General features: G+C 53.4%; 1 protein-coding gene across 1 annotated transcript in view, besides 7 other annotated features; it reads left to right on the plus strand.

The window, feature by feature from the left end:
- Positions 1-26,438, plus strand: part of NADSYN1 (NAD synthetase 1) — a 48,614-nt gene extending 22,176 nt beyond the window's left edge. Inside the window, exons 10-21 of the mRNA NM_018161.5 lie at positions 3,017-3,091; positions 5,377-5,501; positions 5,978-6,026; positions 6,545-6,647; positions 7,471-7,639; positions 8,934-9,069; positions 10,164-10,270; positions 15,467-15,598; positions 16,456-16,525; positions 22,105-22,233; positions 22,974-23,150; positions 25,924-26,438. Of these exons, the coding sequence (NP_060631.2) occupies positions 3,017-3,091; positions 5,377-5,501; positions 5,978-6,026; positions 6,545-6,647; positions 7,471-7,639; positions 8,934-9,069; positions 10,164-10,270; positions 15,467-15,598; positions 16,456-16,525; positions 22,105-22,233; positions 22,974-23,150; positions 25,924-25,974 (1,323 nt within the window). The 3' untranslated portion in view covers positions 25,975-26,438. The remainder of the gene's footprint in view (positions 1-3,016; positions 3,092-5,376; positions 5,502-5,977; positions 6,027-6,544; positions 6,648-7,470; positions 7,640-8,933; positions 9,070-10,163; positions 10,271-15,466; positions 15,599-16,455; positions 16,526-22,104; positions 22,234-22,973; positions 23,151-25,923) is intronic.
- Positions 1,299-1,878: an enhancer, noted in NCBI's record as "H3K4me1 hESC enhancer chr11:71187723-71188302 (GRCh37/hg19 assembly coordinates)". NCBI's record gives its function as "activates a minimal SCP1, AML or CMV promoter by ChIP-STARR-seq in primed H9 embryonic stem cells {active_cell/tissue: H9 hESC(primed)}" and the evidence as "EXISTENCE:reporter gene assay evidence [ECO:0000049][PMID:30033119]".
- Positions 1,879-2,458: an enhancer, noted in NCBI's record as "H3K4me1 hESC enhancer chr11:71188303-71188882 (GRCh37/hg19 assembly coordinates)". NCBI's record gives its function as "activates a minimal SCP1, AML or CMV promoter by ChIP-STARR-seq in primed H9 embryonic stem cells {active_cell/tissue: H9 hESC(primed)}" and the evidence as "EXISTENCE:reporter gene assay evidence [ECO:0000049][PMID:30033119]".
- Positions 2,459-3,038: an enhancer, noted in NCBI's record as "H3K4me1 hESC enhancer chr11:71188883-71189462 (GRCh37/hg19 assembly coordinates)". NCBI's record gives its function as "activates a minimal SCP1, AML or CMV promoter by ChIP-STARR-seq in naive H9 embryonic stem cells {active_cell/tissue: H9 hESC(naive)}" and the evidence as "EXISTENCE:reporter gene assay evidence [ECO:0000049][PMID:30033119]".
- Positions 5,039-5,564: an enhancer, noted in NCBI's record as "H3K27ac-H3K4me1 hESC enhancer chr11:71191463-71191988 (GRCh37/hg19 assembly coordinates)". NCBI's record gives its function as "activates a minimal SCP1, AML or CMV promoter by ChIP-STARR-seq in naive H9 embryonic stem cells {active_cell/tissue: H9 hESC(naive)}" and the evidence as "EXISTENCE:reporter gene assay evidence [ECO:0000049][PMID:30033119]".
- Positions 9,776-10,276: an enhancer, noted in NCBI's record as "H3K4me1 hESC enhancer chr11:71196200-71196700 (GRCh37/hg19 assembly coordinates)". NCBI's record gives its function as "activates a minimal SCP1, AML or CMV promoter by ChIP-STARR-seq in primed H9 embryonic stem cells {active_cell/tissue: H9 hESC(primed)}" and the evidence as "EXISTENCE:reporter gene assay evidence [ECO:0000049][PMID:30033119]".
- Positions 12,564-13,334: an enhancer, noted in NCBI's record as "NANOG-H3K27ac-H3K4me1 hESC enhancer chr11:71198988-71199758 (GRCh37/hg19 assembly coordinates)". NCBI's record gives its function as "activates a minimal SCP1, AML or CMV promoter by ChIP-STARR-seq in naive H9 embryonic stem cells {active_cell/tissue: H9 hESC(naive)}" and the evidence as "EXISTENCE:reporter gene assay evidence [ECO:0000049][PMID:30033119]".
- Positions 25,365-26,052: an enhancer, noted in NCBI's record as "H3K4me1 hESC enhancer chr11:71211789-71212476 (GRCh37/hg19 assembly coordinates)". NCBI's record gives its function as "activates a minimal SCP1, AML or CMV promoter by ChIP-STARR-seq in naive H9 embryonic stem cells {active_cell/tissue: H9 hESC(naive)}" and the evidence as "EXISTENCE:reporter gene assay evidence [ECO:0000049][PMID:30033119]".
- Positions 26,439-27,959: the final 1,521 nt, after the last annotated feature.

Below are 27,959 nucleotides of genomic sequence, written 5' to 3' on the forward strand. Positions count from 1 at the left end.
AGTTACAGGTCGGAAGCGCCATTGCTATCCCGAAGCGACACAGATATGTGGGTGCTCCGAGGAAGGAGATGACAGAGAACAAAGCTAAGAACCCTGCTTGGCACATTCCTCACCAGCAACTGAGCTGCCGCTTGGAATGGGGTTCAGGACCTTGTTGGGGCCCCAGATTCCTTTGGGAAGCTGATGAAAGCTCTGCACATTCTGCGGCTAAAGATGCGCATTAGCACAGGGCAAGGCTTCCCAGGTAATCGTTATCGCCATGGAGGCAAACTTCCTCCACAGAGAAGGGACCACAGTTGGAAAGTCCTTGGGGAGGTTTGGGCCACTCTCCCTTTCGGTTGTTTGTTTGTTTTTGAGATGGAGTCTTGCTCTGTCACCCAGGCTGGAGTGCAGTGGCGCAATCTTGGCTCGCTGCAACCTCCGCCCCATGTTAAAGCAATTCTGCCTCAGCCTCCCAAGTAGCTGGGACTACAGACCCATGCTGCCATGCCCAGCTAATTTTTTTGTATTTACTTAGTAGAGACAGGGTTTCACTGTGTTGCCCCGGCTGGTCGCAAACTCCTGAGCTCAGGCAATCCACGCACCTCAGCCTCCCAAAGTGCTGGGATTACAGGTGTGAGCCACCGCACCCGGCCTCTCTTTCTGTTTTTGAAGCAAACAAGAAAAAATGGGCTATTATTGCCACAAATGGAAACAAATCCCAAGTGCACAAATACAACAAAAAGTAACTTTTAGTTCTGCCCCAAGCCGGCGTGGGTGGGAGCGTCTCCACTCTCGGGCTCAGACCACACGCGGGTCCACAGCACTGCCTCCCACACACAGCATTGCCTGACTCGTCTTTGGACCCGACGGCCTTCCACTCTGCTCTTGTTGGGAATGGGCATTAAAGCAGCGGATTCACCGAGGCAGGCGGTAGCACCGGAGGCGAGTTCTGCAGCTGGCTTTGCAGGAGCAGGGCGAGCTTGTGTCCTGGCGTCGCCGACTCTGCGAGGCTGTCTGAGCAGTTCATTGCTTTGCTCCCGCTGCGTTCCCATCCTCATGATTCTGTCTGGTGCTTTCTGCACAGCATAGGTGTGGTCAGCACGGAGGCGGTTACAAAACCAAACCAGTTTCATAGTGGACCAAGTGAACTTCACCCTGAACAAGAATTCCACGGTCTTTTCAGGGGTTTCTTGCACGGGGGCAGGCAAGGGTGTGGCCGTCTCGACTCCAGGCCCTGCTTTCCACATGACAGTGTCCCCAGAGGCCTCCTTGCGCTTCATCATTAACCGCGACAGAGCTGGAAGGGCTTTGAAGAGAAGGATTAAGTTCCTGCTGATGGGAAGTGTGGTCCTCTCCCCGTTCACGTCAGAGCCACAGGCACATTGGTGGTCGTGTTGATTGGCAGGTGTGTTGGCAATCAATCACCTGCCCCAGGACCCCCGCAGGTTCCCGGCCCCACATCAAGCCACCAAATCGGAGTCCTCGGGGGTCTGTATATTTAGTGAGCACCAGGCAGTTGTTTCGTGCATTAGAATCCGGGAGCCGTTGCCTTACACGTCTCTAGAGTTCCTGATGTTGCCTGAGAGCTCCGTCGTAGGCTGTGGCCACAGGCCTGCTGTATTCAGAGTGGCCGCGCTGTCCTCAGGCTCGGGCCACTGCCCTCCACCAGGTCCTCCGTGGTGCACCTGAAATGGTCAACAGAAGTCTTGTGACACGTGGAATCATTTCAGAGTCACCCCTTCTGCCTCCTGCTCAAGCAACAGACCTGCCGATCACCCCCGTCGGGCCCGCGTTTCTCAGGGTCTTCCTAATCCCCTGGGCTTTCCGGCTTGTCGTGTGCCTGGAGTCAGGCCGCCGTGCGGCAGGCTGTTAACCTAGCCTCGGGGAGAGTGGGATGGAGCCACCTTCTCATGGAACGATCCTCGCCTTCCCTCATCTCCATTGTTTTATGGCTTCACACGGACCGTGGCTTTCTGCATGGAAGCTTGGTGGCCAGGGTGCTGTCACTTTGGGAAGCAGCCAGAGAACCACAGGATGCGTGAATCGGTCTCCTTGTCTTCATGGGCATCTCCGGCCAGGTATGGCCCCCTGTTACGGCGGTAGGAGCAAGGGGCGCGCAAGGTGGCCACGGCCATCCTGTGAACCGCCGCAGTGGTGCAGGTGCTGTTCCCGCTGTCCCACACTCGTGTTTAGCAAGGCAACACTCAGGAACACAATTTGATAAAGATATTTTTTCATGAAGGAATAACCCCTATGAGTTAAAACCTCATTTCTGCATATACCGCAATTGGCAGAACCCCTACCATAGCCGGGTTCAAAGGCAGGGCAGTGTCACCTCCTGTGACACAGGCAGCACGTCCAGGCCAAGACCCTGGTGTGGATGCCGGGGCTGCGGCTCCGCCTCTGCCCTCCCCCAGCTCCATCCTCCTTTGTGTTGGCCTCAGTCTCAGGTTGCTTCTCCAGCTCCGCCCTCCTCTGTGTTGGCCTGTCTCAGATTGCCTCTCCTCGTGGGCATGGGATGTTTGCCCCAGCTCCAGCCATCCCATCTTCACACAGCCACATGCAGAGGCAGCAAAGTGGCCTTGGCTCCTTGCGTGTCTTTTTGATGAGAGGGGTGTTCCCAGAAGTCGCTGGCAGAGGCTTACTGACACTGGGGTGTCTTACTGACAGGGGTGTGTCTTACTGACATGGGGGTGTCTTACTGACATGGGGGTGTCTTACTGACAGGGGTGTCTTACTGACAGGGGTGTGTCTTACTGACGGGGTGTGTCTTATTGACAGGGTGGTGTCTTGTGCTGTGATTAGTGGGTCACTGGCAAGTGTCTGAATGAAGTGGAGGTTCCGGTGGCAACAGTGACGGGGAAGGGCTATGGGTCCGCCTCAATGTCATCTGCCCCATCCCTGGGCCTCCAGGAATCCAGGGTCTCAGCCCCTGCTTTAGAAGGTGTGACAACACCTTTGACAGTGGCCAAATTACACGTGGGAGTTGAACAAACGGGAAATCACGGGTTCTCTTTGAAATTTCCTTCTCCAGGAAGTCCTGACGGCCACGCTGGATCTGGAGGACGTCCGGAGCTACAGGGCGGAGATTTCATCTCGAAACCTGGCGGTGAGTGCTCCAGTAGACACCTGTGTGGGATGCTCATCAAAGACGTGGAAAGTGGCCCCATTCGTGCGGGCCTGGTGGAGGCCGTGAGGGTGCAGTGCCTGAAAAGTCTGACAGGGAAGTTCCGGACTTCCCGAGCGTGGAAAGGGGCTGGTGCCGCAGACAGAACCTGCTTCCATCTGTTCCCCGTCATCCTCTGCTTGGGCCAGGCCCTGAGCTGGGGTGAGCTGGGGACAGGCAGGCAGAGAGGCTGACGAGACAGTCAGCGTGCTAGGGGCTGCCACACAAGGAAGACCCAAGCAGCCTTGGAGCCCAGGAAGGCCTCAAGGTGAGGGGTGGCAAGCGTGGTAGGAACAGGCACACAGTGTGCAGCCGAGGCTGGTCCCCACTTCGGCAGTTGGAGGCAAGGTCCAAGGCACAAGTGAGCCTGTGTCTGAGACCCTGGGATGCAAGTAACGCCCCTCCTGCAGCCCGAGGTCCTGCTGCTGGTAACCTGGAGCTCTGCGTTTCTGCAGGACATCGTCACAAATAGGATGTCCAACTGAGCAGCTGTCATGAGACAGTGATTTTTGCAAACATTGAAGAAGTGTGATGCTCATAACAGAGCGGACTCTTCTGCTGTTGATTGATTGAGACAGGGTCTCATTCCATCGCCCAGGCTTGAGTGCAGTGGTACCATCACAGCTCACCGCAGCCTGGACCTCTGGGGCTCAAGTGATCCTCCCACCTCAGCCTCCTGAGTAGCTGAGACAACAGACACACACCACCATGCCCAACTAATTTTTGATTTTTTTTAATTTTTTTTTTTTTTTAGAGACAGAGTCTCACTATGTTGCCTAGGATGGTCTTGAACTCCTGGGCTAAAGCAATCCTCTTGCCTCGGCCTCCCAAAGTGTTGGAATTACAGGCGTGAACTACCGTGCCCAGCCTTTTTTTCATAGCAGTTTTATTAAGTTGTATTTGCCATACCACCCAATGTATCCATTTAAGCACCTGATTCAGTGGTTTTTCATGTACTCATGGAGTTATGCAGCCACAATCTTAGCGCATTTTCATTACCCCAAAAAGAAACTGTACCCATTATGCACCCCGTTCCCCTCCTCCGGTCCTGGCAACCACAAGTCTACTGTCTGTCTTCATGGATTTGCCTATTCTCGACGTTTCATTGGGATGAAATCACACAGTGTATGGCTTCCACACTTTACTGTGCTGTTGTCAAGGTTTATCTATGTGTTGGGTGCAGCCACCCCTTGGTATCCACAGGGATTGGACCCAGGAGCCTGCACCGATCCCCTGCAGGGATGCCTGTGTCCCACAGTGCCCCCTGCAAAACTCACTGATATGAAGAGTCGGCCCTCTGTATCCATGGGCTTCAGATCCTGTGATTACTGTATCTTCTGTCTGTGTGCAGTTGAATCTGCGGGTGTAGAACCCACAGACACAGGGAGTGGCTGTAGCTTATCCCTTTGTATGGTCAGAGAGTGTTCCGTAGCGGGGATGGACACGTGTTCATTCACTCTTCCACTGATGGGCATCGGGAATGTTTCCACTTTCTGTCTATCATTAACAATTCTGCTACAAACATACATGTACTTCTGTTGGAGGGGACACATGTTTTCATTTCTCTTGGGTGTGTCTATCCAGGAGTGGAATTGGCTGGGTCTTATGGTAACTCTGTTAACTGTTTTTTGCTTTTTGGTTTTTTGTTTGTTTTTTGAGACGGAGTTTCACCCTTGCTGTGAACTACCATAGGCTGGAGTACAATGGCGCAATCCCAGCTCAGCACAACCTCTGCCTCGTAGATTCAAGTGAGTCTCCGGTCTCAGCCTCCCTAGTAGCTGGGATTACAGGCTTCCACCACCATGCCCGGCTAATTTTTGTAATTTTAGTAGAGACAGGGTTTCATCATATTGGTCTGGCTGGTCTCGAACTCCTGACCTCAGGTGATCCACCTGCCTCAGCCTCCCAAAGTGCTGGGATTACAGGTGTGAGCCACCGTGCCTGGCTCTGTTTAGCCTTTGAGGAGCTGCCAGAGCGTTTGCCACACAGCTGCACCATGGTAGTTTCCAGGCAGCCAGGTTTGAGAATCCCGGTTTCTCACCCCTCACCAGCACCTGTTGCCATTGGTCGCTTTGCTTCTCGCCATCCTCGTGGGAGTGAGGGTGGCCTCACTGTGGTTTTGACATGCGTTTCTGTGGCTGATGGAGTCCTGCTTGTCTGTCGGTCCTGGGGACCCAGAGGGTTTCCGTGAAGCTGGGAGTCATTCTGTCTTGAATCTCCATTGCCAGGCCAGCAGGGCGAGCCCCTACCCCAGAGTGAAGGTGGACTTTGCCCTCTCGTGCCACGAGGACTTGCTGGCACCCATCTCTGAGCCCATCGAGTGGAAATACCACAGCCCTGAGGAGGAGATAAGGTGTGTGGCCCCTGACCCCTGGGAGGGACCTGGCGTCTGTGTGGCCACGCCCCTGGGGTGGGGACTCCTGGAGGTCACGCAGTGGGTTTTCAGAACCTGCCTGGGTGGGGACTTGCAGAAGGCAACTGTGCATCCCCTGGGTTGAGGGCGTGGATGCTAGAGCCAGAACCCCTGGGTGTGACCCCCAGCCCTGCTGCTTCCCCGTGCTGTGACCTTGGGCCCCAAGGTGCTGTCCGTCCATTCTGTGGTTCAGTGTCCCCATTTTAAAATGAGGACGATGATAATACCCACGTCCTGGGTCTGTCTTCAGAATCACATGTGTCCCTTCTCACGAGGTGCCTAAAGCAGAGACGGGCGTCCTGAGAGCCCAGCGTTGACTCTGGCACTGCAGCCTCCTGGGGCCTGCTTGGGTGGGTTGTTGGGTGCTGTGGGCAGGGGCCACCGCCTCCGGGCTCCATGTTCTGATTGCCCTGCAGCCTTGGACCTGCCTGCTGGCTCTGGGATTTTTTAAGACGAAGTCAACAGGTAAGACTTCCAGTTTCTAGTGAGCCCACTTTGCTTGTTCTGCTGGTTGGTCTGGTTTTATTCTGGGGCAGGGTAGGGATTTTTTTTTTTTTTTTTAGTGCAAACAACAAAAAGCATTTCATCACTCTGCCTCCATGGGGAGCTTAGTCTGTGCTAGCCAGAGGCAAGGTGGGCACAGTGGCTGGTGGGTCAGCTCCACCTTTGGAGGCTCAGCGGAACCCAGCCCATCAGCATTCAGGGTCACGCTCACCATCTTGCCAGCATTGTAATCATGCGTATCTGCAGTTCGTCGGTGGAGTCAGCCTCTGACACGCCCCGCAGTGAAGTGTCTTTTTTCCCTCTGAAAAATCCATTCATCCTGCCACGTGCGGGTATTTGTCCTGACCCCATGGAAAGTGCTAACACCCACGTGCATTTCTGTGGACGCCTCCTTGAGGTCTATGGGTGGAGCTTGGCTGATCCATGGGCATGCTGCTTCTCCGAGGCTCTGCTCACGCTGTCTGATTGGTCCATTCCAGGCAGGGTTTTTGCTGCCCTTGAGTGGCGGGGTGGACAGCGCAGCCACCGCCTGCCTCATCTACTCCATGTGCTGCCAGGTCTGCGAGGCCGTGAGGAGTGGAAGTAGGTGACATCTGTTGGCTTGAGGGAGGCTCCAGGGTCCAGCCCTTGGGCTGCCTGAGTTAGGGACCTAGGAGGGGGCAGAGGAAACACCCGTGCCATGGACATCGGGGTGAAGGGGGCTTTGTGGCCACGCACAAATGTCACAGCATCACATCCCAGTCCTGCAGCTAAGGCAGCAAGGCCATCAGTAGCTTCCTGGGGCTTCGGGCCCATGTGGCTGAGTCTCCAGAGCTGTACCTGCCTGCTCTGTGCACGGTGTGGCCTGGTGGGGAGAACACAGGCGTCGGAGGTTCACATCCTCCCCCATGTGATATAGTATCAGACATCACCTTAGCATATGCAGCAGAACAGCGGTGATGATGCCCGATGGATGGGGCTGTGGGCCATAGCCTGGGCTGGCGCTGCACAGGCACCTGGGGGTGTAGACCGGGGTGCAGCCGTACGGGCACCTGAGGGCTGTAGACCGGGGTGCAGCCGCACAGGCACCTGGGGGTGTAGACCGGGGTGGAGCCGCATGGGCGCCTGGGGGCCGTAGACTGGGGTGCAGCTGCATGGGCACCTGGGGGTGTAGACCGGGGTGGAGTCACACGGGCACCTGGGGGTGTAGACCGGGGTGGAGCCGCACAGGCACCTGGGGGTGTAGACTGGGGTGGAGCCGCACAGGCACCTGGGGGTGTAGACCGGGGTGGAGCCGCACAGGCACCTGGGGGTGTAGACCGGGGTGGAGCCGCATGGGCACCTGGGGGTGTAGACCGGGGTGGAACTATGTAAACATCCCACACACTCAGGTGACTTCCACCCATTCTGTCCTGGTGGTTTTCAGATGAGGAAGTGCTGGCTGATGTCCGCACCATCGTGAACCAGATCAGCTACACCCCCCAGGATCCCCGAGACCTCTGTGGACGCATACTGACCACCTGCTACATGGCCAGCAAGAACTCCTCCCAGGAGACGTGCACCCGGGCCAGAGAGTTGGCCCAGCAGATTGGAAGGTAGAGTTGGTCCCTGGTATTGGGCATGGCAGGTGGCTGACAGAGCTCAGAGTCACTGGAAGCTCCGCCTGTGAGTGCATTGGTGACTGGCTTCATTCATTCCGCATCGTGTCATCCACTATGTGGATAAACGTGTAAGTGCTCCATCCCTTTTTGTGGGTGAATAATATTCCACTGTACGGATAGACCAGTTTGTTTCTCCTGTCATCAGCAATTGCTTAAATGTGCACCTAGGAGCTTATCAGGGCTCCACTTTCTCTTGGTTTGAGCCAGATTTCAGGGAAGCTGTGTGTGAGTCCTCCCTATCTGACCCACCCCAGTCTCAGATGGTGCCTGCAATTTCTGCCCTTCTGTCCCCTCACTCCTGGCATTCCCAGTGCAGGCTGCAGGTCGTATGTGCTCACCAGGGTGTGCAGCAGGTCCTGGGAGTTGGCTGCAGGCTGGCTCCTACCCCTCCTCCTTTCTCTTCCCCTGCCCTCACTGCCTCTTCCACGGGCAGTTCTCTATGTGAGGACAGTGGAAGGAGGGCACCTTTCCGGAGAAGAAAGACTGGGTTCTATCTAGAATATTCCATCCATAATGGCTCCTAGGAGAAAATGAGCAGCTCCCCATCCTGTTTGTTGAGCTCAGCTAAAAGCTGTCCCCATGCCCTCCAGTGATTCTCCTCCTAGATATGTACTCAGAGGAATCAGAAACAGGGACCCGAACAGATACTTGTTCAGGAAAGTCCATAGCAGCACCATTCACAGAAGCCAAGAGGCAGGGACAACCCAAGGTCCATCTCAGATGAACGGAGGAAGAAACTGTGGTCCATTCACACGGTGGAATATTAGTCACCCACGAAGAGGAGTGGAGCATGATCACATGACACAGTGAGGAGAAACCTTGAAGACATGGTGCGGATGAAGGGAGTGGAGCCAGCCACACCAGGCCACATGGTGTTTGATTCCATTTCCATTCCATTTCCACGCAATGTCCAGAACAGGCCATGGCATAGAGAGAGAGGGTGTCTGTCACTCTCTGCATCTGTCACTGTCAGAGCTGTCAGAGCTGGAGGAGGAGGGAGTGGGGACAGACTGCCAGTGGGATGGGGTTCCCTTCTCTGGTGATGGGAAGTTCTGAGCTAGATGGTGGTGATGGCTGCGCAGCACTGTGGATTGCTAAACACCACAAATCATACGCTTTAAATGGGTTACAATGGTCAGTTTTAGGTCATCAGGGCTTCACCGCTCATGCGCACACACATGCACACACGTGCACATGCTGCCTTCAACGCCTATCCTTCTCCTTCCAGCCACCACATCAGTCTCAACATCGATCCAGCCGTGAAGGCCGTCATGGGCATCTTCAGCCTGGTGACGGGGAAGAGCCCTCTGTTTGCAGCTCATGGAGGAAGCAGCAGGGAAAACCTGGCGCTGCAAAATGTGCAGGTGCCCCCGCCTGGGCCGGCGTCCCCTGGGGGTGGGGGTGCAGGGAGCACTGGGACAATCACTACAGGATGTGCAGGTGCCCCCACCTGGGCCATCGTCTCCATGAAGCTCATGGCACCGGTTACCTAGGGACAGCCAGTGCTGGGGTCACAGCCTGTATGCCTCACTGAAGACGTCGGTCATGCAGCCTTGTTAACAAGGAGGGGGTCTGTGTGTGTGTTGGTGCATGAGCATGTGATGTGTAAGAGCAAGAGCGGGGGTGTAAGGATGTGCGTGCTCGAGTGTGTGCATGAGCCTGAGTGCAAGAGCAAGAGGGTGTGTCTGAGCCTGAGTGTGAGCCTGAGCGTGAGAGGTTACATGAGTGTATGAGAGTACAAGTGTGTGAATGTATGCACAAGTGTGGGTGTGCTTGTGAGTGCTTGTGCAAAAGCAAGTGTGAGTGTGGATGTGTGAGTGTGCACAAACGTGAGTGCACAGTTGTGTGCATGAGTGCGTCTGCATGAGTGCACGAGCATGCCTGTGAGCATGTGGGTGGGTGGGTGTGCATGAGTGTGAGAGTGCACATGACTGTGTGTGAGTGTGTGTCTCTTTAATCCTCAGGGAACAGCCCAGACGCTGTCTGCCTCCTGAGCTACTGCACTTGACTGACTGCTCCGTGATGGGCAGAGGAAAAGAGAGGCCGGGGGCTCCAGCTGCTGGGATCTGTCCTGTCTCTCTCTGTCCCCTTTCTGCTGTGCCTGGGTGGCCTCTCCCCTCCTGCCAGTGGTAAAGGGATGGAAATGCAGTTGCCAAGCTTTCTCCCAGGGACCCCACGGCTCAGTCCTGCCACCAGTGCTCCCTCTGCCCTCCCGGGCTCTGGGTGCTCCCATCTTTGAAGGCAAGGCACCACTGAGCTTGTGTGAGCCCTGTGGAGGTGGGACCACCCCGAGAGGAAGGCCTCGGGACACTGTGGGACTCTGAGACTCTGATGTTCCCCGAACGCTAGAGAGCTCCTAAGCTATTTTAATTTTCTTGTTTTCAAGAGTTTGTGGGTGTGCGTCTCCCCCGTGTTCCTTTGCAAGGGAACCCGTTATTTCCTCTGTTGTGTTTTCCAGGCTCGAATACGGATGGTCCTCGCCTATCTGTTTGCTCAGTTGAGCCTCTGGTCTCGGGGTGTCCACGGTGGGCTCCTCGTGCTGGGATCCGCCAACGTGGATGAGAGGTGAGTGTGGCCCAGTGGCACGTGGTGGTGGGCCCCTGAACCTCTCAGGTCTCTGAAGGTGATACGCTGTGAGATTCTATCATCCTGTGCCTTTCATGGCGGGTTTGGTGCCTGGAATGACATCATTCCTCTAGAATTTCACCCAACCCGAGTGGCAGAGCGGATCAGCATCACGTTCCTGCAGGTGGCTCTGGGCGCTCACCACTTTCATCAGCCTTGTGGTTCTTCATCTCTACTGCGCCTCAAATTCATCTTCCCACCGCCCTCTGCCATGGTCAGGCTCCCCTCTTTCTTCTAGGCTGTTCCACTGTGTCTTAAGTCATTCCTTTGCAGCTAGTTTTTACCTCCAAACCAGAGTTCATTTTTTATGTGGACTGAAAATACTCCCCTTCTCATATTGCTTCCTTGTTCAACAAAACTCAGAGCCTCCCTGTTGTTTTCTGGATAAAATTCAAGCTGCCCCTCAAGTCCAGCAGTGGAGGCTGCTAGAAATTCTTTTCCAGCCTTGGTTTCCCCACTTCCCTTAGGTGAGCCTCTATCCCTCTCAGCTCGTCTGTGCTGTTCTTAGTTGCTCCTTAGGAGCTGAGGGATTTCAAAAACTATTTGTGATTTATTCATTTGTTTGTCTATGCATCCATCTATCCATCCATCAGTTGGGCCATCCATCTATCCACCCATCCATCCATCTGTCCATTCATCTATCCATCTATGTATCCACCCATCCATATATCCACTCACCTGTCCGTTCATCCACCCATCTGTCTGTCCATCCATTCATCCATCCATCCACCCATCCACCCATCTGTCTGTCCATCCACCCACCCACTCACCCACTCATCCATCCATTCATTCACCCATCTGTCTATGCATTCATCCATCCATTCATCTACCCACACATCCCTCCACCCACCTGTCCATCCATGCATTCATCCACCCACCCATCTATCCATTTATCCACCAATGTGTCTGTCCATCCACCCATCTGTCCATCTATCCACTCATCTATCCATGTATTCATTCACCATTTCATCTGTCCACCCAACCCATCCATCCACCCATCTCTCCCTTTGTCCATCCATCGACCCATCTGTCCACATTTCCTCCCTTCCATCCATCTATCCCTCCCTTTTTTCTATGGCGTGAGTGTCTTTTTTTTTTTTTTTTTTTTTTTTTTTGAGATGGAGTCTCGCTTTGTCACCCAGGCTGGAGTGCAGTGGCGCGATCTCGGCTCACTGCAAGTTCCGCCTCCCGGGTTCACGCCATTCTCCTGCCTCAGCCTCCCGAGTAGCTGGGACTACAGGCGCCCATCACCACGCCTGGCTAATTTTTTTGTATTTTTAGTAGAGACGGTGTTTCACCGTGTTAGCCAGGATGGTCTCCATCTCCTGACCTCGTGATCCGCCCACCTTGGCCTCCCAAAGAGTGTGAGTGTCTTAATCACTCTGCATCCTTGCCTGTCTGCAGATGTGTTCTCTTTTAAAACTGATTTTTTATTTTTAAGTCCTATTTTATTTTTCTAATTACAGAAATTTGAAATTAACACCTGATACTGTGTAAAAATTCTCATCCTCCTCATGCATATTTTGACCATTGCTTTTCTGGTGCCTCTGGTGCCTTTGTAAGGGACTGATTTTTCAGGAGGGGTGTGACGGCTGGTGTATATTCTCAGCTCTGGTGTAGTTGAGGAGATTGATGTTTGCTTTGGCTCTGCATTGCTTTTGTAGATGAGGAAGAATTTGATCTGTTATAAAATTGTGTTGTAAGAGTTCCCCCTCACAACTCTTGTCCATCATTTTCTAGTATTTAAAATGTTAACAAAGAAACAAGTATTTTTTTCCAGGGTGGGATTGGGTTCTGGGAGCTGGAAGGTCTCTAGATGCCATTTAGAAAATAAACAAACGGGCTGGGCACAGTGGCTCACGTCTGTAATCCCAGCACTTTGGGAGGCTGAGGCAGGCAGATCACAAGGTCAGGAGATCGAGACCATCCTGGCTAACACGGTGAAACCCTGTCTCTACTAAAAATACAAAAAATTAGCCGGGCGTGGTGGCAGGTGCCTGTAGTCCCAGCTACTTGGGAGGCTGAGGCAGGAGAATGGCATGAACCCAGGAGGCGGAGCTGGCAGTGAGCCGAGTTCGCGCCACTGCACTCCAGCCTGGGCGACAGAGCAAGACTCCGTCTCAAAAAAAAAAAAAAAAAAAAGAAAAGAAAAGAAAATAAGCAAACGTAAACGTAATCCCTCAGCTGCCCCTTTCTCACTGCGGGACAGAAGGCCCTGTGGCTGCAGACACTCCCCTCATGATGTAGTACTGAAGCCCTTCTCTCTGTTTCCCATGCTGCATCTCCCTCTGCCGCCTTCTTCTCACGGGTCACAGCCAGTCCTTCTCTTCCTCTGTGTTCTGGCAAGAATCTCAAATGTGTAGTGTTGATTTTTTTAAATTTCCCTGTAATTCTGTTGTTGAATTGCTTCTGATTCTAGTTCAGTCGCATCCCTGTCTGCTCATCAGGGGCCTGTTGGACACCTGTCCTCCCTCAGGCTTTCTTCCCGGTGGTGTGAATGAGTCAGAAACAATTCCTGTTCTCTGCAAGTGGGAGGAGACAGTGATAGCCCAGCAGATAACATGTGTATTGTAGGAAACGTCCGCCGAGAGAGCTCAAGGAGGGGAAGGGAGAGCTGGGAGTTTGTAAGCAGCTTGCCCAGGGAGGGCCCTACTGAGAAGTGGGTTTCATAAAGGCCTGCGGGAGGCGAGGGTGGGTGGAGAAGAGCCCGTGAAGCCCTGAGTCATGACTCCCCCAGGACTGAGAGCCCATCATTGTCTCCCTGAAAGGCCTGGTCTTGAGTGGGGACTGGAAGACCTGCAGAGCTGTTTTGGAAAGTGTGCGGCGTGTCGGGCAGAGGGAGGTGTGAGACGTCAGAGACAGCTGTTTCCAGAAATTTCACTTTGAAGGGGAGGGGAGGCGCAGGATAGGCGCTGCAGAGATCACTGGGAACAGGAAAAGGAGTTTGCTTTATTATTAGAGACAGGGTCTTGCTCTGTCACCCAGGCTGGAGTGCAGTGGCACCGTCACAGCTCACTGCAGCCTTGACCTCCTGGGCTCAAACAATCCTCCCACCTTAGCCTCCCAAGTAGATGGGACTGTAGGCATGCACCACCACGCCTAATTTTTTTTGTTTCCACTCTGTTGCCCAGACTGGTCTCCATTTGTTTATTTGCCTTAAGATACTGTCAAGAAAAGACCAGTAGAGAGGGAGTGGACTTGCTGGTGCAGGACAGTGGGGATGTTGCTGGTGAGGAGATGAGAGCAGGTGACCAGGCAGGAGGGTGGCTTTGCTGGGGGCCTGGCCAGCGCGCCCACAGCAGCAGGAGGGGTGGGTTCAGAGGCAGGCCCAGGAGAAGGTTCCAGAGAGAGCAGGAGGGGAGGGGAGAGTGAAGCCAGCCCTGCAGGGTTAAGTTGGGGTCAGCATGGGAATGCAGAGCTGAGAGGCTGTGTTGAAGTTAGGCTTCTAACAACATGATTTCAGCTGATGGAAGTGACCAGCCTGGGGGAAAGGTCCATGCAGAGTGCGAGAGGAGGGGACAGCTGCTGGAACTCGGTGGTCCTGTATTGAAATTTATGGCCACACTTGTTGCTGGCTTCAAAGTCTCACCAGTCCGCCAGTTCAGTCTTGATTTCACCAGAAAAAGTCTGCCTCAATTTTCCCCCTATAACCGTGCCTCCCCATCCCCATGGTCCCCACTTCCTGGCTGGAGTTTCCTTCCACCAAGATGAGGCAGCATCCTGGCCCCACGGGTCGCAGGTTGAGCTGAGCTCTGCACTGCGGGATTTCCCCAGACTGTGCTCTCTGAGTCAGCCCCGGCGGATTTCCCCAGTCCTTGGCAGTTACTGGGGATGGAAGAGAAAAAGTGCTAAGATGGAGACTGTCATCTCCCCTGGCCCATCTGGCCCGTATCCCAGCTCCTGCTGAAGGAGCTTTGGACGGGACAGGACAGGGAGCGATGGGGTGACTGGGGTAGCCCTCACTGAAGGCAGCACAGGGTCTCACCTGTCCCTCTGTTGGGACCCTGGGGGTCTTACACCCCCGACATTGCACCACAGTGAGGGTCAGGAAGGGTGAGAAGGCACGGAGGTGTGAGTTTGGGAGTGTCAAGAAATGCATCTGGTGGGATAGGCAGGGGCCAGCCTGGAAGGCCTTGCAAGGTCAAGGGCACCATTGAGGGAATTCAGACTGTGGAAGGGCTTGGCCTGGCCTGGTATGGAGGAGATGGGTGGTCAGCCAGGAGTCCCGTGGAGAACCTGGAGGCCTGCACCAGCGTTGGCAGCGGGGTGGGGTGGAGAAGGACGGCTGTAACCCAGGATCACAAAGTTTGTGCCTTCAACAACACACATTTATGGTCCCTCAGTTCTGTAGGACACAGGTCCAGTATGGGTCCCCTGGCTCAAGTGAAGGTGTGGACACAGTGGGTTCCTTCTGGAGACCCTGGAGAGAATCTGTTTCCCGCCATTTCCAGCCTCTGGAGTCCCGCCTTCTTTGGCTCACGACGCCTCCTCCGTCTTCACCACCAGCGGCCTCGCGTCTCTGCCTTTCCCCTGCAGTCAGGGCTCCCTCAACTCTCACTTTCACCCCCTTCTTTTAAGGACCCCTGTGATTGCATTTCAGGCCCACCCTGCAATCCAGCATCACTCCCACATCTCAAGTCCCCAGCTGAGTCCATCTGCAAAGTCCCTTTGGCCCTGAGAGGTGACAGAGTCACAGGTTCTGGGGATTAGGACGTGGGCACCTTAGTGAGAGATGGATTCTTCTGCCGACCACAGGCCTCAGAGTTGACAGGCAGGGGAGGGGCCCGCGGCCGCCCGGGCAGCAGAGTGTCCACGTGTGTCCAGTCCCTGCTCACTCCCGACACCCCAAGACCTCTGTCCCTCAGCTCTGTTCAGACGACTGCTCCCAGCTCCGTGCTGGTGACCCCCGAAATCTGCCTGCCATCCCCGGCGTCTCCTCTGGTGCACTCAAAGGCCCTCCTGGGTCCTCTGCAGCCTCTGCCACCTTTGCGGGTTGCTCTGGGACTTCTCCGGGATGCTTGAATATGCCACACTTCTGGCTTCAGGGCCCCTGGAAGAAGCGACTCCCTGGCTGGCCAGGGTTGATGGAGTCTGCGGCCCCTTGGGAACCCGCGCTCTTTCTCCCTCTCCCTGCAGTCTCCTGGGCTACCTGACCAAGTACGACTGCTCCAGTGCGGACATCAACCCCATAGGCGGGATCAGCAAGACGGACCTCAGGGCCTTCGTCCAGTTCTGCATCCAGCGCTTCCAGCTTCCTGCCCTGCAGAGGTGAGTGTGCTCACGGGCTGTGGCTCCACAGCCACGGGGCTCCTCTCCCAGCACGGCCCCGGCCACCCTGGCCCACACTCAGGCTCCTTCGTAGCTCCTGTTGCCTGCTGAATGGTCCTGCCCCTGAGCTGGCACTTGAGGCCTGCAACCAAGCCTCCCTTTCTTCCTGTGGTGCCTCCACAGCCCCCCGGCTCCGGCCAGATCACGGAGCTGTGGCCTCCTGCCTCCCCCGCCTGCCCTGCCTCCCTTCCCTGCCGTCCCCATGCCGATGCTTGGCAGGCCGAGGCTCGCCACATCTGAGCAGAGCGCCTGTGCTTTAGCAGTGACTGCAGATGGATCAGTGTCCGGACCTTTCTTCGGCCTTTGCCGAGGTTCCCTGCCACGGGAATGTGTTTTCTTCTTTGCTTATCCTCACTGGAGTGACTGTGCCCCCCAGGGGACATCAGGCAACGTCTGCAGACATGCTTAGCTTCGCCACACGGGGTGTGCTGGGTGTTAGCAGGTAGAGGCCAGGGGTGCTCCTCAATGTGGCGCAGTGCACAGGCCATTGACATTCCCTACAGCAGAGTCCCCTCGACCTAGGTGTGCCCGGTGCCCAGTGGACTGGCCCTTCACTGTGCCTCCATCTCTGCCTCTCCTCCTGGGGTCGTGAGGCCACACCAGTGCCCACACTCCTCAGCCCAGGATGCTCACCCCCGCTGGAAAGCCCAGCACCGCAAGCCTTGGTGACGTCCTACCCACGGTGAACGGAGTGGCCGGGACCAGCGTACTCGGGAAACTTAGTCTGGGGATTCTCTCCCAGAGCTCACACCACCCTCGCAGCTGCACTGACCGACCTCTGTGTGTTTTGGCTGCAGCATCCTGTTGGCGCCGGCCACCGCAGAGCTGGAGCCCTTGGCTGATGGACAGGTGTCCCAGACCGACGAGGTAATGGCGGTGGCTTTGCCATGATGCTTCCTGCCCTCCTCCCCACCTCCTGTGTGGTGGTGCTGGCTCTTCCTACCTCCCTCCTGACCCCAGGACAGCTGCATCGCTGTCACTGGGTCCCTGGCCTGGGTGCCCAGGGCTCAGTGTCAGTCACATCCCTGGCCTTTGACACTTCAATTCACTTCCTCATGGTTGGCGCCCCAGAAAGAGGATGACATGGTGGGAGGGGAGGGAGAGCAGATGGCGGGCGGAGGAACGCAAGTTCCTCACAGGCAGGAGGGGCATCTCTGCTCGTGTTTTAGAGCGATGTAGGAGGAGAATTGCCCTCGACTCCTCCACTGCATGCTGGCCCTTCGTGATGAGGCCCAGGCTGTGGTTGGTAGCTTAGTGGATGCTGGGGGAAGTGGCTGTGGGCTTTTTATGATAAAATCCATGACACTCCAGCCTCTTAGGTCACCAGGACTTGCTGCTATAGTTTCTTCCAAGCGTTTTCTAGTTTTCGTCCTTACATTTAGGTCTGTGATCTAGTTGAGTTACTTTTGTGTGTGGTATGAGGAAGGGCTTCAGTTTCATTCCTTTGCATGGGAATATCCAGTGGTCCCAGCACCATTTGCTGAAAGGATGATCCTTTCCCCCAGTGATGTATCTTGGCACCCTTGTTGTAAATGTAGGATTTATTTCTGGACACTCAATTCTGTTCCATAGATCTTTTCTGTTTTTCCTTATGCCGGTCCCACGCTGTCCTGATTATTATAACTCTGTAGGAAGGATTTTGGGTACTCTGAGTCTCTTGAACATCCATATGAATTTTGAGATCAGCTTGTCAATCTCTGGAGAAAAAAAAGCTTTTGCGTTTTGACGGGGACTGCATGACACTATAGATCAGTTTGGAGTTCGGGGAGTTTCGCCATCTTAATCATAAGAACTCTTCTGATCCATGAACATGGGACATGGAATGTCTTACTTATTTAAGTTGTCTCTAAATTTTTTTTTTTTTTTTTTAGACAATGTCTCACTCTGTTGCCCAGGCTGGAGTTGCAGTGGCACAATCTCAGCTCACTGCAACCTCCACCTCCCTGGCTCAAGCGATTCTCCTACCTCAGCCTCCGGAGTAGCTGGGATTATGGGTGTGCATCACCATGTCTCGCTAAGTTTTTTGTATTTGTAGTAGAGATGGGGTTCCACCATGTTGGCCAGAACATGAGGCCTCGGACTCCTGGCCTCAAGTAACCCGCCCGCCTTGGCCTCCCAAAGTGCTGGGATTACAGGAGTGAGCCACTGAGCCCGGCCTCTAATGTCTTTCAACAGTGTTTTTTCTAGTTCTCAGAATTTAAGGTTGCACTTCTTTTGCCAAATGTATTTCAAAATATTTTATTGTTTTTGATACTCTGGTGAGTGGAATTGTTTTATTAATTTCATGTGTAGATTGTTCATTGCTAGTTTATAGAGAAACACAGTTGATTTTTGCATATTGACCATATACCCTGCACCTTGTTGAGCTCATGTATTAGTGCTCAGAGCTTTTTAGTAACCTCCTTAAGATTCCGATTTACAAGGACATGCCATCGCAGCTGGAGAGAATTTCTGCCAGGCCTGATGATCCTAACCCAGGGCAGGCCCAGGCTGATGGATGTGTTTGTGTTCTAGTTTTTAACAAAAAATGTTAAAAAGCAAAATAAAAAAAAAATCATTTTTTTAATAGAGAAAAGCTTATAGAATAAGAAAAAATATTTTTATAATTAGATCCGTGACCCTCCAACTTCCTTAGGTCACAAGGATTTGCTCCTATAATTTCTTCCAAGAGTTTTATAGTTTTAGTCCTTATGTTTAGGTCTGTGAGCCAGTTGAGTTAATTCTTGTGTGTGGCAGCTGACAATGTATTTGTGTTTTAAGCTGTTATTATATGAGTCAAACAATTTTTTTTAATTAAAAAGTTTATAAGGTAAGGCTGAGCATGGTGGCTCACGCCTGTAATCCCAGCACTTTGGGAGGCTGAGGTGGGCAAATCACTGAGGTCAGGAGTTCCAAGACCAGCCTGGCCAACATGGTGAAACCCTGTCTCTACCAAAAAAATACAAACAACAAAACAAACAAAAACAAGAAAAGTTTATAAGGTATAAAAGTTACAATAAGCTAAGGTTAATTTATTATTGAAGGAAGAAAAATATATTTGTATTAATTGACTGTAGCCTAAGTTTACAGTGCTTGGAAAGCCCACAGTAGCACAGTAGCATCCCAGGCCTTCCCATTCACCCACCCCTCACTCCCTGACTCACCCAGAGCGGCTTCCAGTCCTGCAAGCTCCAGTCCTGGGAAGTGCCCTATGCAGGTGTCCCATCTTTTACCCTTTCTACTGTATTTTTATCGTCCCTTTTCTACACTTAGATACATAAATACTTAGCATTATGTTAGACTGGCCCAGAGTATTCAGTACAGCAACATGCTGTGCACGTGTGTAGCCTAGGAGCTCAGGCTGTACCATGGAGCACAGGTGCATAGGAGGCTAGACCATCTGGATGTGTGTAAGTGCCTTGAGGATGTTCACACGACGCAGTGGCCTGTCTATGTGTTTCTCAGAACGTATCCCTGTCATTCAGTGATGCGCGCCTGTCTTTCTTGATGATCCAAAAATTTCTTTTGTTTTGTTTTGTTTTGTTTCTGAGATGGAGTTTTGCTCTTGTTGCCAAGGCTGCCTGGAGTGCAGTGGTGCGATCTCGGCTCACTGAAACCTCCGCCTCCCGGGTTCAAGCAAGCAATTCTCCTGCCTCAGCCTCCCGAGTAGCTGGGATTTACAGACATGCACCTCCACGCCTGGCTAATTTTGTATTTTTAGTAGAGACGGGGTTTTTCCATGTTGGTCAGGCTGGTGTCGAACTCCCGACCTCAGGTGATCCACCCACCTCGGCCTCCCAAAGTGCTGGGACTACAGGCGTGAGCCACCGCGTCTGGCCAATCCATTGATTTCTATAAGGTCTGTAAGGTGTCTGTCTTTCATTACTGATTTTAGTTGAGTCTTCACTCTTTTTTCTTGGTCATTTTAGCTAAAGGTTTGTCAATTTTTTTTTTTAATCTTTCCAAGCATAACTTTTTGTTTTGTTGATTTTCTCTATTGTCTTTCATTAATTTCCCTCTGATCTCTGTCATTTCCTTCCTCGTGCTGGCTTTGGGTTTCATTTGCTCTTCTTTTTCTAGTATCTCAAGGTGGAAAGTTAGGTTGTTGATTTGAGATCTTTTTTCTTTTTTAAGGTAGGTGTTTATAGCTACAAATTTCCCTCCTAGCACTGCATTCAGTGCCTCCCACATGTTTTGGTCTGTTGTGTCTTCATTTCATTTATCAAAGTATTTTCTGATTCCCTTGGTGACTTCCTCCTTGATCCATTGATTATTTAGGAGTATGCTCTTTAATTTCCACGTATGCATGAATTTCCAAAATTTCTGTTACTGAATTTGTACTTTTATTCCAATGTGGTGAGAAAGCAACTTTGTATGACTTCAACATTTAAAGTTGTCTGAGGCTTCTCTCGTGGCTCAGCAGATGGTCTGACCTGGGAAGCGTCCCGTGTGCCCTTGGGAGGAAGGTGGGTTCCGCTGCCGCTGGGTGCAGTGCCCTGCAGGTGTGTGCCAGGTCTCCCTGGTTGACAGAGTTGTTCGTATCTTCTGTTTCCTTGTTGATTTTTCATCTTAGTTGTTCTGTCCATTATTGAAAGTGGGGTATTGAAGTCTCCAGCTATTATTGTTGAATTGAAGGAATTAAATGTTACACTGGAAAATGCTCACTTCATGGGAAAGAAACCAGCCAAGCAGCCACTTGTGCGCAACCCGTCAGGTGCTGGGGACCCTGTGGTGAGCAACACAGACGTGGCCACTGCAGTGAAAACACTTAGCGTCCCCTGGAGGGACGGACAAGAAGGCCCAGCGGTGGCTCTGGCCATACTGTCTGATGATGGCCCTGGGGTGTGGTAGGAATGAGAGGGAATGGGAGCAGATCTTGAACAATGGAAAGGGCCTGGGTTGTATGAGCCTCGGGGTAAAATCGGCTCCTCTGAGCCTGGCTTGAAGCATTTGTTGCCTGGCGCTGTGATAGTGATACCAGCGGCACCCTGTGGCCTCCAACATGGCCCAGATTTCAGTGAGCCCTCGGCCCTCTTCTTCTCTGAGTCCCCCACACTTCAGGGCACGGGCTCAGGAGGACAGCAGACAGGCTGCATCTGCTCCATGAGCCACACCTTCCATGGATGATTTGTGGAGCTACTGTCACTAATGACCCAGTGGCGTAAAACAACAGGAATTGCTTCCCTCACAGTTCCAGAGGCCAGGGTCTGAAATCAAGGTGTTGGCAGAGTCCTGGTCCCTCCGAAGGCTCTAGGGCAGTGGTCCCCAGTCTTCTTGGCACCAGGAACTGGTTTCGTGGAAGACAATGTTTTCCACAAACAGAGGGTTGGAGATGGCTTTGGGTTGAAACTGTTCCACCTCAGATCATCAGGTGGTAGATTCTCATAAGGAGCATGCAACCTAGATCCCTCGCTTGCACAGTTCACAACAGGGCTCGCGCTCCTATGAGAATCTGTGCCACCGAGGATCTGACGGGAGGCGGAGTTCAGGCGGTGATGCTCACTCGCCCCTCCCCTCACCTCCTGCTCTGGGATCCAGATCCTGACAGGCCAGGGACCAGTACCTATCCATGGCCTGGGGGTTGGTGACCCCTGCTCTAGGGGATCCTTTCTTGCCTCTTGCGTCTTCTGGGGACTCCAGGTGTTCCTTGGCTTGTGGCTGCATCACTCCATCCTTTGCTTCCTTCTTCCCGCAGTTTCCTCCCTTTCTCCACGTGTCCTCCTCCCTTTCTCCACGTGTCCTCCTGGCCCTCGTAAGAGATGTCATTGGATGCAGGGCCCACCCCACATTCAGAGTCATCTCACCTTCAGATTCTTTACTTAATTACATCTGCAAAGACGTTTTATCCTTTTCTCTTTTCTTCTTCTTCTTTTTTTTAGAGACAGGGTCTGGCTCTGTCACCCAGGCTGGAGTGCAGAGCTGCAATCTCGGCTCACTGCAGCCTTGATGTCCCAGGTTCAGGTGATCCTCCCACCTGAGCACCCACAAGTAGCTGGGACTGCAGGTGCACACACCACCACACCCAGCTAGTTTGTTATTTTTTGTAGAGACAAGGTCTTGCCATGTTGCCCAGGCTGGCCTTAAACCCCTGGGCTCAAGCAGTCCTCCCACCTCGGCCTCCCAAAGTGCTGGGATTACAAGTGTGAGCCACTATGCCCAGCCTACACTCTTTTTCCAAATAAAGTCACATCCCCAGGAACTGGGCCTTCAGACATGAGCGCTCCTTGGTGAGCCACCGTTCACCCGTTACGGTCCTCCAAACCAAATGCCTGGTTCTTCGTTGCTGTTTTCCAAATGCTACCTCCTTACTGGCTGACTAGCAATGGGGAGTAAAGCCCACCTCTGCTCCTGCCTCTCTGGGAAAGTATTGCCTCCTTGGTCTCTGGTTCCCATCTCCAAAAGAAGCTTTAGGCTCTCCCCCCGCTGTGACTTGCTGTCATCATGGAACAGATTTTTGTTGTGCACAGGAAGATATGGGGATGACATATGCGGAGCTCTCGGTCTATGGGAAACTCAGGAAGGTGGCCAAGATGGGGCCCTACAGCATGTTCTGCAAACTCCTCGGCATGTGGAGACACATCTGCACCCCGAGACAGGTAAAGCCTGTGAGACGCATCACAGAGGGAGGCCAGTTAGGTAATGTCCCCTTTGCAGAGGCCGGTTTGACCTGTAGGAACAAGTAGATAACAGTGTGACCCTAACGTAATAAAACTGTATCTCACACAGTAACACTTTTCAGTTATTTTTACCCACTCTGATCTTCTGCTGGCCCAAAGTTAATCTGAGTGAGGCTCACCCACAGCCAGGTAAACACGACATGAAACAAGCCTCCCTTTTTTTGAGGATAGAATGTAAACTTCAGGGTCAGAATAGTATTGCTTTTCTGCCTGTTGTGAGTCTTGCTGGGGCTGAAGCCCACAAGCATTGTAGTCCAATGGAACCTCCTGGAAGCCTTGTGAAATAAATCTTCGCAGGATTTATCTTAGATCTCCCAAGGCAGCATGCCACAGCATCAGAGGCAGGGAGACCCCAGTTTCACAGCATCAAAGGCAGGGGGACCCCGGTTTCATAGCATCAGAGGCGGGGGACCCCAGTTTCATAGCATCAGAGGTGGGGGACCCCGGTTTCATAGCATCAGAGGCAGGGGGACCCCGGTTTCATAGCTCGGCCAGTGTCCCCGGCCTGAGCACGGGCATCCCCCACACCTGCCATCGTGGAAGGTCCTGTGCGGGGAGTAACCCATTAGTCATTTGCTTGTATGATCCAGCATGGGAATTCCGGCCTGGGGTCTCTCCAGTTTTGGTAACATGAAGCTCGTGTGTTGCACGCCCACCAGGTCGCTGACAAAGTGAAGCGGTTTTTCTCCAAGTACTCCATGAACAGACACAAGATGACCACGCTCACACCCGCGTACCACGCCGAGAACTACAGCCCTGAGGACAACAGGTTTGATCTGCGACCATTTCTGTACAACACAAGCTGGCCTTGGCAGTTTCGGTGCATAGAAAATCAGGTAAATCCAGCAGAAATGTTTCTCTCTCCATGTTTCATGTCTGTAGAAGAAACGTGAGGTTATTTCCATGAAGGATTGAAAAACTTTCTTATATACACAGTAACTTTTTTACTGTCCTCCTTTCTGCAAAGGGACAAGTATGTTTAAAGCGTTTTTTAAATTTACTTTTTTCGTGTTGACAAATAAAAATTCTATATATTGATGGTGTCCAACATGACATTTCGATATGTGTGTCACAGTGGAATGGCTAAGTCAAGCTATTTCACATGTGCGTGCCTTACCCCACACGCCTATTATTTGTGTGTGGTAAGAGCACTTAAAATCTACTCTCTTAGCAATTTTCCTATATTAACTACAGTCACCATGTCATGCACTGGAGCTGTTGAACTTACTTCTTTTGTGGCCTTTGACCAACAATCTCCCCACCCACCAGCCCCTGGTAGCCACCGTCGCACTCTCTGCTTCCACAAGATCACCTTTTCAAGATTCCACAGACGAATCAGACCATGCGGTATTTGTCTTTCTCTGCCTGGCTTATTTCCCTTTAAGATGTTCATGTAGGTTCATCCGTATTGTTGCAAATGGCAGAATTTCCTTCTTTCCTAAGGCTGCATAGTTCTCCACTGTGTGTGCACCGCACTTTCTCTATCCACTCATCCATCGGTGCGCGCTCAGGCTGATTCCACAGCTGTGCTGTTGGGAATGGCGCTGTGGTGAACGCGGGCGTGCAGATGTCTCGTCGGCAGATGAGTTCATTTCCTGTCAGTTATACCCGGTAATGGGGTGGCTGGATCGCAGGGTAGTTCTATTTTTAATCTTTGGAGGAATCTCTGCACTGCCTTCCACAATGGCTACACTAATTGCTGAGTGTGTTTAGAGTCTGGCATGCACTCCTTTTGGCTAGGCTCTATTTGCTGGCATTACATAAACTAAAATTAGCAGCTGGACACCCCTCTATGAGTATGGTGACAATCACTGTCGTTTCTAAGTAGCCAGGGTATCCAGATGGCGTCATGGCTTCCAACCCACCCTGCTTTCCTTTTCTTTTTCTAATTAATTATTAATAGAATCAAGAAAGGACAATACAATCAATGAAAAAGGATAGGCCCTTCCCTTTTCCAAAGCCAGTTTGGGAGCCATGACAGAGCAGCTTGGCCATGGCCTCCCTAGCGCAGGGGATCATCTGACGAGAGGAGAGAGCCGGCCAGTGAGTCACTGTCAACAATGATAAATCAGAGGCCGGCTGCAATGGCTCACGCCTGCCATCCCAGCACTTTTGAGAGGATCACCTGACCCCAGGAGTTGGAGACCAGCCTGGGCAGCATGGCAAAACCCCATCTCTACAAAAAATACAACAATTAGCCAAACGTGGTGGTGCACACCTGTGGTTCCAGCTACTTGGGAGGCTGAGGAGGGAGAATCACCTGAGCCAAGGAGATGGAGGCTGCAGTGAGCTGTGATCGTGCCACTGCACTCCAGCCTAGGTGACAGAGCCAGAGCCTGTCGCAAAACAAAATTTAAATTAAAAAAATTAAAAACAGTGATAAATCCTGAGGAGTCTACACTGAGCTAGAGGACACCTAGTGTCCTTCCAGCACCTGTGAGACCATAGCACAGTGTGATCAGTGCACAACAGAGGCACACACAGGTGCTGTATGACCACAGAGTAGTAACCTTCTAATCAGGAAGATGTCTTGAACTCTTCCTTAAGGACATGAGGAAAACCCGCCTGTGCTGAGCTAGAGGCCACAAGATGCCGCTTTATACCTCATGATCGGTGACAGCATCTCTGAGCAGGTGGCCTGTAAAACGAGGGTGGATCAGTGGCAGGGGTTCTACATCTGGGACCGTTGACCCCCCGAGGAGACATTAGGCGATGACTGGAGATGATTTTGGTTATCATGACTGGGCTGGGGTCTGTGCTCCCAGCATCCCGTGGGTGGAGCCCAGGGATGCTGCTGAATGTCCTACTGTGTGCAGGATGGGCCCCTCCCAACCCCACACCCAGCAGAGAATTCTTTGTTCCACGTGTTGGTGGTGCCAAGGTTGAGGAATGCTGAACATTTGGGACTAGAAGACGTTTGGGGCTGCATGGTTGTAAGGAAGAGATACTGTATCTGGCTGATTTCCGTGGAAAGGAACTTGCTCAAAGAGTGACTTAGAGGGTGGAAGGGAGGGCAGGGGTCACAGGGTCTGGAAAGCTGGGACTCAGGCCAGGTGGCTGCTGCCCTATATCCCCTGCTGTGGCTGGACGGAGCCCACACGCCACACCCAGCCTGGGCTGGATGCCAATCTGCTCTGCCATCCCTGAGTCCCAGTGTCCCTGGGTCACCAGGCAGTGGAGTGGCCAAGCCTCGGGTGATGGGCCCTGTCATCTGGCCACCCAGGGCAGGAGAGGGAGCTGCCCCAGCTCTGGCCTCTGTAGTGGGAGGTGGGGGCTTGGCTCCCACCAAGATGTACTCAGGGGCGGGCTCCCCCAGATCAGGAAGGGGGTTCAGACACTATGCAGCCAAAAGAGTGACGCATGTGGGAGCATCAGAGACAGCTGCAGGTAAAGGTGGAGACGCTGCTGTCATCTGCAGTGACAGCTATGCGTGATCTGGACCCGCCCCTCCAGGCTTTTCCAGCACACACGCCCAGCATCTGGTGGGGACTCTGGTAATTTACTTTTTCACCTCTGGGACTTGTGACCCGCTTTTGGTGCGTGCCAGTGTTTCAACAGCCCCACAGTCCGTCTTTGCGGGGCTGTGGTGTCACAGGCCTCTCTTTCCAGGTGCTACAGCTCGAGAGGGCAGAGCCACAGTCCCTGGACGGCGTGGACTGAGGCCGGTTCCTTCCTGGAGGCCTCCTGTCCTCGGGGACCCCAGCACCTCATCATCAGCATTGCTGGAGCCAAGGGTAGGAGCCCTACACTAGGAGCCCAGGATGGGACGGCGCATCAGCCGAGAGGGAGGGAACTTTTCAGTCAAATTCCTCAAAAAGAGGCTGGAATAAAGCCTGGGCTTAAAAAGAGGCTGGAATCCAATGCACATGATTTTGACCTCCCGCCAGCGTGCGCTTCCCCGCGAAGTCTGGCATTCTCCGAAGGAAGCCGCCTGGGTAGGAGGGTTCCAACCGCCGCCCCGTGTGGCATCTTTGCTGCAGGAACAAGAACAGTAGCTCCCGGGAAGGGAGGGGTGTCATGAGCAGAAAATGAAGGAGAGAAGACCTTCTCTCCCACCCACACACACCTTCCTGTCCTGGGTTCCAGAAGGTTCTGGGGAGATGGTCCCTGCAGAGCTTTCTTCCTGGGAGTCTGGGGACCAGTCGGCCTTACTCCTGTCCTGTGGGAGAACCACCCCATCTAGGCATGGGGCCAGGTGTGGGGCAGGGGCGTGGCACTGTGGGTCCCCCTTCCTGCTGATCTTCATGCCATTCTGGGCACCTTTGTCTCTTTATGGAATGGGGTGAGGAGCGGCTTTTCTGTCCTCTCCAGAGCTCCCCTTGGTCCTGGAACCCTCTCTCCCGGGTTGCCCCAGGGAGTCTCAGCCTCCCATCCTTGCAGGGTGAAGATGAGACGAAGATGGGTGCACAGGCCAGAGCCTCCAGGGGAGTGGAGTGGGTTTGGGATCTGTGCTGCCCACCGGGTGTCCGCTCTTTCTCTCCCCCATGTCTGGCCCCTCTGCCTGGGACACTCCTGCTTCCCAGCCTCACCTAGAGCCCCACACCAAACCCAGGGCCCGGGCTGGGACACAGACCACAGCTGAGGGTGAATTTCCCAGGAGGTGCTGTCGGGATAGCAGAAAGTGGGGGACACTCGGCAGGTGCTGTCTGGATAGTAGAAAGTGGGGGGCACTCGGCAGGTGCTGTCTGGATAGTAGAAAGTGGGGAGCACTCGGCAGGTGCTGTCGAGATAGTAGAGAGTGGGGGCACTCGGCAGGTGCTCTCTGGATAGCAGAAAGTGGGGGGCACTCGGCAGGTACTGTCGGGATAGTAGAGAGTGGGGGACACTCAGCAGGTGCTGTCTGGATAGCAGAAAGTGGGGGGCACTCGGCAGGTGCTGTTGGGATAGTAGAAAGTGGGGGGCACTCAGCAGGTGCTGTTGTGATAGAGAGTGGGGGGCACTCGGCAGGTGCTGTCTGGATAGTAGAAAGTGGGGGGCACTCGGCAGGTGCTGTCGGGATAGTAGAGAGTGGGGGGCACTCGGCAGGTGCTGTCTGGATAGTAGAAAGTGGGGGGGGGGCACTCGGCAGGTGCTGTTGGGATAGTAGAAAGTGGGGGGCACTCGGCAGGTGCTGTCGGGATAGTAGAGAGTGGGGGGCACTCGGCAGGTGCTGTCTGGATAGTAGAAAGTGGCGGGCACTCGGCAGGTGCTGTTGGGATAGTAGAAAGTGGGGGGCACTCAGCAGGTGCTGTTGGGATAGTAGAAAGTAGGGGGCACTCAGCAGGTGCTGTCGGGATAGCAGAAAGTGGGGGGCACCCGGCAGGTGCTGTCGGGATAGTAGAGAGTGGGGGGCACTCGGCAGGTGCTGTCAGGCGGAGTGGTCACCACCGTTGTTGTCTTCTCCGTCACTTCCTCCAGAGTCTGTTACCCACGTCACATCGTGGATGCCCCCTGCCCGGATAGGTCTGAGTGCACTGGGGTGGCCGGCACCCCACACCTTCTCAGGGAGCACCCAGCAGGATACCTGAGATTCTCCTTAGGCCTTGGATGGGAGCTGGAGGCTTCTGGCTGCCTCCTGCACCCCAGATGTGTGGCAACGGGGTGGGGAGTGTGTCACCCGAAAGATGATCAGGTGAGGCTGGGACCCTGAAGGCAGCCCCATCCTG

Source organism: Homo sapiens, chromosome 11 (genome assembly GCF_000001405.40).
Source record: "Homo sapiens chromosome 11, GRCh38.p14 Primary Assembly".
Taxonomy (NCBI): Eukaryota; Metazoa; Chordata; class Mammalia; order Primates; family Hominidae; genus Homo; species Homo sapiens.